We start from the raw sequence: 10,459 nt of genomic DNA, 5'->3' as shown, positions 1-10,459 counted from the left end.
GTAAGCGTCTTGCCACTCACCCGCGGCCGCTTCCAGGGGCGGCCCTAGGGGAGAAGGAATTTTCCTAATTTGGGGGCTTCCACCCTTTGGTGCCACTTGGGCGGGAGGGTCGCGGGCCCTCAGTTCCCGGCGAGTCACCCCCGGCCCCAAGTCCGTATGCGTCTCTCTCAGAACCCGATCCTCCGGTGTCTGCAGCCTCTCCTGGCTGCGGAGCTGGTTCCCAGCCCCCTGCAACCCAGTACCGACTTCCCACCCTGACGTAAAATTATTCGAAAACAAGCCCCCTGCTCACCCCATTAACAACAACAACAAAACTGTATTATGCCCTAACTGTAGCATAAAGAGGAAATAGAAGGAAAGCAATAAGTAAGAAAGTACATATTTCAATCTGAAAATGCTTGGCACTACTACCCTTGGAAAATGTAGAGAAGTAGCCAGTAGCCGCGCCTGGGGAGTCGCCTGAACGTGACGGCAGCAAATGCAGATTGTTGGGTCTCCGGGACCAGGAGCAGCGTGGCCAGTGAAGCGCGTGGTTTTCCCAAATGGTGAACAATTCTTGGTAAACCTCCAAACCGAAGTGCAATCAAGCCTTGATTTACATGTAGTTGCATTCCTCGAAAAAAAAAAGAAGTGTTCATTAAAACTGCAAAAATACTTAGCATTTCGATGTAAAATAGAGTTTGGTTCTAGCCACAAACGGATTTTTCCACGCACAGGAATGTATAGGAAGACTCTCCAAGATTGTAGGGCCGCGGGGTAATCCTTTATTGTGCGGGACTGTCTCTCGAATCGCAGAATCCTACCATCTCAGGCCCCAACCACCTGTAAACCTCATGCCTCTGAATCTTGGGGAAACAGCTTCCCCACCCCCATATATTTCCAGAATTCCCCCTAGGGGGCAGTACGTCCCCACTAAGAAAGGCTGAACTATAAAAGTGCACAAGCCTAAGGACATTCCTGCTTTATAAAGGTGCGAAACACCGGATATAGTATCTTTCATTCTCAGAACAAACTTGCAAAACAGGTATTGTTATTCCATTTTAGAAATTAGGAAAGTGAGGTTTTGCCAGGTTAAGTGACTTACCCGAGAATACAGGGCAAAAGTGTATCAAAGCTGAGCTATGACCCGTGTCTGACCAAGAAACTCTGTCTCATTTCAGTTATCTGTGGCCACAAAGAAAGTTATTTGTCTCTGTCTTGGCAAGGCTGGGAGGAAAGTTTTAGCTAAGTGAGTTCTTTTACACTTTAGTCATCAGTTTTCTGACTTTGTTAGTCTTTATGAGACGTGTGTGATAAATTTACATTACTCTAATTCCAGGAAACTCAGCCCATTGGAGACCATGGATAAGTACGATGTGATTAAGGCCATCGGGCAAGGTGCCTTCGGGAAAGCATACTTAGCTAAAGGGAAATCAGATAGCAAGCACTGTGTCATAAAAGAGATCAATTTTGAAAAGGTAAAGTTAAGTTCAAATTTCTGTTAATTTTCAGTGGGATATTCAGCTGGCTTTTAATCCAATATAAAAAGGAAATTTTTATTTTTTATAATTTCGAATTTTAAGCCATAATTGATTTTTGTTAATTCAACCTCCTAAGTCCATTGTCCAAACAGCAACCAATGATCTCATTTTTAAAAAGAGGCTGGACGCACTGGCTCACCCCTGTAATCCCAGCACTTTGGATGGCCAAGGTGGGAGGATTGTGTGAAGCCAGGAGTTCGAGATAGCCTGGGCAACATAGCAAGACCCTGTCCCTGCTAAAAAAAAATTTTTTTAATGAAAATAGAAAAGAAATAAGATCACATCCCTGTGGCTCCTATGGCCCTCCTTAGGGTGCCCTGCAAGGCCCTGTGAGATGCCAGCCTCCTCTGTTGCCCTGACTTTTCTCTGTGGTGCACTTCCTCTCTCCTTATTCAGGTCCTCTACGAGGGGTTTTCTGCAAACATCCTAGCTAGAGTAGACCCCCAGCCACAATCACACCTTATCACCTTATCACACCACCTTGGTTCCTGGTTTCTTTTTTGTTTTCTTTTCTTTTCTTTTTTTAGACGGAGTCTCGCTCTGTCACCTAGGCTGGAGTGCAGTGGCATGATCTTGGCTCACTGCAATCTCCACCTCCGGGATTCAAGCAATTCTCCCACTTCAGCCTCCTGAATAGCTGGGACTACAGGTGCATGCCACCATGCCTGGATAATTTTTTGTATTTTTAGTAGAGATGGAGTTTCACCATGTTGCCCAGGCTGGTCTTGAACTCCTGAGCTCAAGTGATCTGCCCGCCTTGGCCTCCCAAAGTGCTGGGATTACAGGCTTGAGCCACTGCTTCTGGCCTGGTTTATTTTCTTACTAGCATGTATAATGCTCTGCAATTACTTTGCTCTCTTAATTATTCATTTGTTTATTGCTTGTCTTCCTCAGTATGCAGAACAGTTCCTGTCACATAATAGGTGCTAAACACATTTATTGAGTGCACTGAATGAATAGAGAAAAACTATATGTAATTGTTGGTCTAATGATTTTGGAAAATAAATATAGTTAATTAAAAATTAATAATTTTTGCTAAATCCACCTTGGTCAGTGTTTATGTCACCCTCTTTAGTGATATGTTCATTTCATAATATATTGGGACAACAATGTCCATTGTTTGCTAGAATTAATTCTAAGGCAAGTCTTGTTGGTCAGCTTCTAGAGGATTTATAAATGAGAGTAGCATAAAAAGTTCCATACAAAGTGTGTGCAAAATGGACTACCCAAGTTACACCATATGAATATACTTAATGCCATTGAACTGTACACTTAAAAATCGTTAAAATGATATAAATTTTATCTTACCACAAAAAATTGCAAGAAAACCTACCCAAACTTAAAGCTCAAGAGTAGATGACTGGCTTCCAGGGATAATGATTTATTTCCCAATATAGGTCTCTTTTTGTGAATCCATGGCATATTCATAATAATGTCCTCTTATTCTAGTGGCCCGCAATAGCTTCCTCCCATGACATTATTCTGCTCACTCTCTTTTGTTTATCTGACTGCTCTCCCTCAGGCTTATCTCTGTCTTCGCCCTGTGTATGTCCTCAACCATGTGTCCTTTTCTGATTTTCTTTTTCTGTCCATTGTCACCTAAACTGCCCCACTTCAGTGTTTACCAATAAGTAGATCTCTCTTAAATCTCTGTCTCTACCCCTGGCATCTTTCAGTACCCTAGTTCTGCATTTCTTCTGCCAGCTAGATAACTTCAGGTAATATCTGTGGTTTTGTTTTGAGGTGGAGTCTCGCTCTGTCGCCCAGGCTGGAGTGCAGTGGTGCCATCTCGGCTCACTGCAAGCTCTGCCTCCCAGGTTCATGCCATTCTCCTGCCTCAGCCTCCCGAGTAGCTGGGACTACAGGCGCCCGCCACCACGCCTGGCTAATTTTTTGTATTTTTAGTAGAGACGGGGTTTCACTGTGTTAGCTAGGATGGTCTCAATCTCCTGACTTCGTGATCCACCCGCCTCGGCCTCCCAAAGTGCTGGGATTACAGGCATGAGCCACCACACCCATCCAACATCTATGTTATTAATCTATTGCTGTGTAGCATATTACCCCAAACTTAGTGGCTTAAAGAATAAACATTTATTGTCTCAGAGATCCTGTGCATCAAGAATTTAGGATGACGATCATTGAGACCACCTTGGAGGCTCGGTATCACAATTGTACCCAAAAACAAGTATTAATAGTGATTCTTCCTTGTTGTAAGCAGACCCACTTCACCTCCTATGTGCTGCGCTGTATTAATGTCATCAGTGTCCTTATGGTTGCCAGCCTGAAAACCTTGGGATCGTTTGTGAGCTTATTCCTTCTCCACATTCAATTATTTGGCGAATACTGTTGACTCTTCCTCTTCCTTGAATTTGCTTCAGTCCTTTTGTCGAGGCCCTGGGTCACTTGGATCCTTCAAGTGGCTCCAGCCCAATTTTGATAATGCTCCAGCCATGCCCCCAAACCTTCACTGGGACAGAGGCTGTAAAGAAAGAGTTGCCTAGGTTTGACTACATAAAAATAGAAAACGTTTGTATGTCAAAACAAACACTATAAATAAATTCAAAGAAATCGAGAAGGTGCCAAAAATATTTGCAAGTATTGACTTAATGGTGTTAGCCTTTTATTAAATCAATAAAAAGATAAAATCCATATATGAAGTCATGGTACAAAAATTTGAAACTCAGTAGAAAACTAAGAAATTAGGAGTTTATTCAAAGAAAAACCCCACAGATAAACAGTTAGAAAACAAATGTCCAACAGTAGGTAATTTGTTAAGTAATTTATAAAAAACTAAGTGGCTATTAGCAATCATGTTGTAGGTGAAGCATTGACATGGGAAAATTTCAATGTTTGCAATGTTTGAGAAAATAGTAAGTGTAAAATAATATAATCTTTGGAAAAATATATATATTCTCCATATATATGTATACCTACAAATATGTTCATATATGTACAAAGAAAGACACAAATTGTTATTATTGAGGTAGAAAGTGGGGTTTGCCTTGTGCATTTTTTTTGAGACAGGATTTCATTCTGTTGCCCAGGCAGGAGTGCAGTGACATCATCATGGCTCACTGTAACCTTGAACAAGCCATCCTCCTGCCTCAGCCTCCTGAGTAGCTAGGACTGCAGGCATGCGCCACCACACCCAGCTAATTTTGAAATTGTTTTTAGAGACAGGATCTTGCTATGTTGCCCAGGCTGGCCTCAAGTGATCCTCCCACTTTGGCCTCCCAAAGTGCTGGGATTACAGGTGTTAGCCACTGTGCCTGGTCTGCCTTGTGCTTTTATATTGTTTCACTCTTCAGAGAAGTTTTGAGACCCTCTCTGATTTGCTCCAAAACTACAGCTCCTATCACATACCCTACTTTTTTTCCCCACTCCAGCCTCTGCATTTGCTTCTGGGGCTACTTCTTCCAAGGTCGTTGCCTGCTGATCTCCCAGCATCAAGATCCCACTTGTTCAAGGCTGAGCTCTACCATACCTCCAGAATCCTCCCACTCTAAAGAATTTATCCTTCTCTGTAAACTTGCATAACTTTTATTGGAACCTCTGTTATAGTACTGACTGCTTTCTTTCTGGACATGCTTTGGCTGTTTATTTTGTGCCTTCTCCTCCTTATTTAGCTGTAATATGTTCTGTGAGGACCGAGTCCATGTGTGTTTTGTGCTGGTATTCCACACAGCACCTAATGCTTGGTGCCAGGAGATATTCAATAACTTCTTATTGGATAGATGATTCACTGGACAGATGCTTTCAGGCCCTCTTGCTCTACTGTGAAGCTGGTATATACTTAGGAATTATAAAACCATTTTAATTCTATGTAAAGAGAAAATATTTGAGAGGTGAATCTCTATAAAAATGTACATTAACATTACTGCATTTCATAGCATCTCTCCCATTCTTTAGTATAATCAAAAATTGACTATATTTTTCTAATAGAGCACCAATTTTTCATCACTTTACTCATGAACTACTCTTGTCACTATGCCATAAATAAGTAGAATCTTATATTAGACCTCATTATTCTTGTTTTCCCATATCTGTTTATGTTATCGAATTTACCTATAACATCTGTGTCACAATATTAACATTTATTACTTCTTTCTTCCTATCTACTCTCATGTAGTTTTTCATTACTTCTTATCTAGAGAAATTTATATTTCTTCTCTCTAATGCCTCCCTACTCCCTACACTAGACCCCAGAACTAAATTGCTTGTTTTCTTACAGGTACCAAAAAGCTAATATTTCTCTTATCATCCTACCATTATCAAGCATGTTCTTTTCCTTCTGGGCTCAAATAAAAGTGTTTTATCTTTCCTCAATTGTGAAAATAAAAATGTTCGTTGTAGAAATTTTGAAAAGAGCCAAAGGAGAAAATAAGACCATTTAGAGGAAAATAAAAATAGCATATAACCTCTTTCTTAATCACTATGAACACTTTGCTGAATTTCTCTCTAGACTATTTTTAATGTATAAGTATATAAGTTATTAGAATGATTGGTGTCATGGTAGATATACTCTTTTTTTTTTTTGAGACGGAGTCTCGCTCTGTTGCCCAGGCTGGAGTGCAGTGGCGTGATCTCTGCTCACTGCAATCTCTGCCTCCCAGGTTCAAACAATTCTCCTGCCTCAGCCTCCTGAGTAGCTGGGACTACAGGCGCATGCCACCATGCCTGGCTAATTTTTGTATTTTTAGTAGAAACAGGCTTTCACTATGTTGGCCAGGCTGGTCTCGAACTACTGACTTCGTGATCTGCCTGCCTTGGCCTCCCAAAGTGCTGGGATTACAGGTGTGAGCCACTGCGCCCAGCCCAGGTATACTCTTTTGTAACAGTTTTTTATATTAGCAATATATTGTGAATATTTCCTCATCTCATTCAATATTTTTATATAATAAAATGTTGTCATTTAATGATATTAAATGTGTTCACACTAATGATAAAGGGACCACCTGCAGGGTGTCCATTATATGTCACACCATCCTGGGTGTTTTATTATGTATATCAACTCAATTTAATCTTCACAACCACTTAAAAGGTAGCTCTCATTACTCTCACTGTACAAGTGAAAGAGCTGAGGCTAAAGAGGTTAAGCAGTTAGCTCCAGGATGCACAGTAATCAGCAGATCCATCTAAGTCTTTCTCTGCTCTTTCCATGATACTACATTGCCTCCCTTTATTTTTAATGACTGCATAGCATTAAAGTGGTAGCAGGTCAAAAATACCATAATTTAGCTGGGCATGGTGGCAAGTGCCTGTAGTCCCAGCTATTCTGGAGGATGAGTTGGGAGGATCCCTTGACCCCAGGAGTTAAAATCCAGCTTAGACAACATAGCAGAACTCTGTCTTAAAAAAAAAAAAAAAGCTAGCAAAACACCCCTGTAATTTATTTAACTCTTTTTCTATTTTCAGATAATTACATTGTTTGGTTGGTTTTTTGGCTACGATTCAATAGCATTTAATATGTAAAGTATGATTCATTTTTATTAAACAAAACTATGTATATATGCTTGCCTATATATGCATGAAATAAAAAGCTCTAACTATTAACAACAGTTATCCCTAGGGAATATAGTATTAGGTTGGCGCAAAAGTAATTGCATTTTTGCCATTAAGAGTAAGGTTACCACCTATGGGCTTTCGTCTGTGGGCTAGATGAGAAAGAAAGAGGGAAGTTTCACTTTTACCTTATTCACTTCTATTTGACTTAAAACAAGCGTGCATTATTAGAGTAACTTAAAAACTAGCAATAAAACACTGTAACAAAGTCTTTTGTATGAGAACTCTTCTGTACCCTTTTATTATCTTCTTTGGATAAATTTCTAGAAGAATTAGTCAAAAATAGGAACATTTCCCTCATGCCTGTAATCCCAGCACTTTGGGAGGCTGAGGCAGCTAGATCACTTGAGGCCAGGAGTTCGAGAGCAGCCTGGGCAACATGGTGAGACCCCATCTCTACTAAAAATACAAAAAATTAGCCGGGTATGATGGTGCTTGCCTGTGGTCTCAGCTACTCAGGAGGCTGAGGTGGGAGGATCACTTGAGCTCAGTGGGCAGAGGCTGCAGTGAACCAAGATCATGCCACTGCACTCCAGCCTGGGTGATAGAGCAAGACCTTGTCTTAAAAAAAAAAAAAAAAAGATTTCTTCAGCAGGATACAGACCCCCCACAAAAATGAACATTTTAAAGATTCATATTATATATTGTAAAACTGCCTTCCCAGAAATATTTTATCAATTTGTGTAGTTTTACCAGAAATAAATGAGTGTCCATTTTGCTGCTTTCTGGCCAATAGTAGTTATTGACATTCTTTTCATCTTTGCCAGTTTCATACATGGAATACTATATTACATTTTGTTTTAGCTTTTATTCCTTTTTTTTTTTTTTTGCAATGGAGTCTTACTCTGTCACCCAGGCTGGAGTGCAGTGGTGTGATTTTGGCTTACTGCAGCCTCCATCTCCCAGGTTCAAGGGATTCTCCTGCCTCAGCCTCCTGAGTAGCTGAGACCACAGGTGTGTGCCACCACGCCTGGCTAATTTTTTGTGTTTTTAGTAGAGACAGGGTTTTGCTATGTTGGCCAGGCTGGTCTTGAACTCCTGGCCTCAAGTGATCTGCCTGCCTTGGCTTCCCAAAGAGCTGGGATTACAGGCATGAGCTACCACACCCAGCCAAATTTTGCTTTAGTTTTTATTCCTTTGATTACTGCATGAGATTGAATATTTTTTCTATCAGCCATTTTTATTTCTCTTTTTTTTTCGAGTTGACTATTCTTGTACTTTGCTATTTTTCTGTTGGGGTGTTTGCCTTTTTAAAAATTATTTGCCATCAATTTTTATATTATAAATATATTTGTCATATATGGTACAAATATTGTATCTTATCCTTTTGTTTGTCTTTTAATTTTGTTTATAATATTCTTTTAAATAAATAGTAGTTAGGAATTTTTTAAGTTGCTAAATGTATCCAGCTGGTAGGAGTAATTTAGCTGTTTTTGTTTTGAAACTCCTATGTACTGACTATACAATTTAAATTGGGGCAGGAAACACTGAAGCTTAGAGGGGTTTAAGGAACTTACTGAAGGATCCTTCAGCTGAGATGTAGGGAAGCTAGAATTGAGAATATTAATTTTTAAGAAGTTCTTAAGTCTAAATGAGAATGAGAAATCTGGCCAATGTTGAAGACCTCTAATGGGTGGAGGCCCCGTGGACATCAGAAAAGCGGGGCAGTCAGGGGCTGGAAGTCAGGGTAGAAATGACAAGTCAGCAAAGCATCAAGAGTGAGGAAGAAAAAGTAGAAATGAGGTGTGGCCACTGGTACTGGCACCAAACCCCTTGGCAAGTATTGTCTATAGGTGAAAGTAGAACAAGAAAATACACCCAAATACTTCTAAAATGAAGTCATGCAAGACAATTTTTATTTGAAAATGAAAAATGTAGTCATCTTAATACAAAATTTTACTGACCTGATTTCTGTGGGATATGACACATTTTCTTTTTTTAGATTTCATTTGTTTCTTCTCAGCAGTGATTGCTCCTGGAATGTTGCATTTTTATAAAGAATTCCTTCGCTACTGAAAGATAGATATTAAAATATGGCTCCATATGGCTAGATAATGAACACGGTACCACCAGTCCAACTTTTAATATAGCAAAACTTCACCAGAAATATTTATTTTCTTGATGATGGTTGTCAACAAACCATTGATGAGATGTAGGGCACTCTGCTAATTCTAGAAATGTTGTTTCCTGCCATTGAAAGATCGTTTTCAAAGTGACATTAAAAGCCAGTGAAATCCTAGAGAATTTTAGATGGAAATGAGCAGAAAGCATGTTCTTGAAACCAAGTTAGCTTTATAGACTACTCTGTCTCTTAATGTAATTTAGATGCCCATACAAGAAAAAGAAGCTTCAAAGAAAGAAGTGATTCTTCTGGAAAAGATGAAACATCCCAACATTGTAGCCTTCTTCAATTCATTTCAAGGTTTGATTTTCTAATATTCGTTAAGTATTTTTATAAAGTATAGGCATGTTGACATATGTAAAAAGATTTGTTCCTAAGGACTGTGTATAAATTAATTTTTGTAAATGGGTCATTTCCCCATTTACTTAAATTGCAGCTTGAGACGTCCTCGTTATTTCCTCTCTAGTAAGTTTTTGTAGACGGCTTTCTTATGTTTTCTTGTTTTTCTGCCTCTCCTTAATTCTCACTCTCCCAAAAAATTAATGACTGGCTTATTAGCTTCTTTGCTGTAGTAACAACCCCCAAATTTAAGTGACTTACAATAAGACACATCTATTTCTCACTTACATTACATGCTAGCTGTGGTGGGCTGGGGTCTTGAGTCTGGGGCCCAGGCTGAAGGAGCAGCTCAGATAAGGAACCAGCTGTTCTCATAAGCAAGAGAAGAGGGGAAAACACAGAGCCCACCACACTATCGCTCTCAAAGCCCTGCTAGGATGTGTGTGTTTGTGTGTGTGTGCTGGGGGGTACTCTGTTTACATGAGATCCTGCATATCCTCAGGCAACAGATGGGACTGTGTAATCCTCTTACAGAGAGCCAGCAAACAGCCACGCACCATAGCCTAGCACACTGCCACGGAGAGGGGGAGAACTTTAGGGAAGGAAGTACCTTCCTCTGTACACCTGAATACAATTCTGCTGACAACTTTAGGGAAGGAAGTCCCTTCCTCCATACATCTGAATACAATTCTGCCTCCACGCATCACTGTAGTCCAAAGGTAAAAAATAAATAATAAATGAAGGAGCATTGGTCAGACAGCATTCATTCACTGAACTGATACTTATTGAGTGCTTACTCTATGCCAGGCATTGTTCTAGGTGTCAGGAATATAGCAGTGAACAAAGCAGATGAAAATCCCTGTTTTCATGAAATTTATATTCTAGTGGGAAGAGATAGACAATAAACAAATCTACA

General features: G+C 39.9%; 1 protein-coding gene across 17 annotated transcripts in view, besides 1 other annotated feature; it reads left to right on the top strand.

Annotated features, from left to right (window-relative positions):
* The window catches only part of NEK5 (NIMA related kinase 5), a 95,463-nt gene that overhangs the window by 251 nt on the left and 84,753 nt on the right, over positions 1-10,459 (top strand). For 13 of the 17 annotated variants that reach the window (XR_941575.3, XR_941574.3, XM_047430293.1 and 10 more), the window contains exons 2-4: positions 1,161-1,228; positions 1,319-1,457; positions 9,408-9,504. Coding sequence is in view for 13 of the 17 variants with exons in the window: in XM_047430291.1 (XP_047286247.1) it covers positions 1,161-1,228; positions 1,319-1,457; positions 9,408-9,504 (304 nt within the window). In the remaining 4 variants the exon portion in view is untranslated. Of the gene's footprint in view, positions 1-21; positions 560-1,160; positions 1,229-1,318; positions 1,458-9,407; positions 9,505-10,459 lie in introns of those variants that run through there. The other 4 variants (XM_047430289.1, XM_047430292.1, XM_047430294.1 and 1 more) reach the window with 4 other exon arrangements.
* Positions 6,266-6,472: a silencer, noted in NCBI's record as "fragment chr13:52696487-52696693 (GRCh37/hg19 assembly coordinates)". NCBI's record gives its function as "represses an EF-1alpha promoter that drives an FKBP-Casp9 reporter gene in an ReSE screen in K562 erythroleukemia cells {active_cell/tissue: K562}" and the evidence as "EXISTENCE:reporter gene assay evidence [ECO:0000049][PMID:32094911]".

This window comes from Homo sapiens, chromosome 13 (assembly GCF_000001405.40).
Source record: "Homo sapiens chromosome 13, GRCh38.p14 Primary Assembly".
NCBI classification, from domain to species: domain Eukaryota; kingdom Metazoa; phylum Chordata; class Mammalia; order Primates; family Hominidae; genus Homo; species Homo sapiens.
This window is presented reverse-complemented; position numbering and strand designations above follow the sequence as displayed.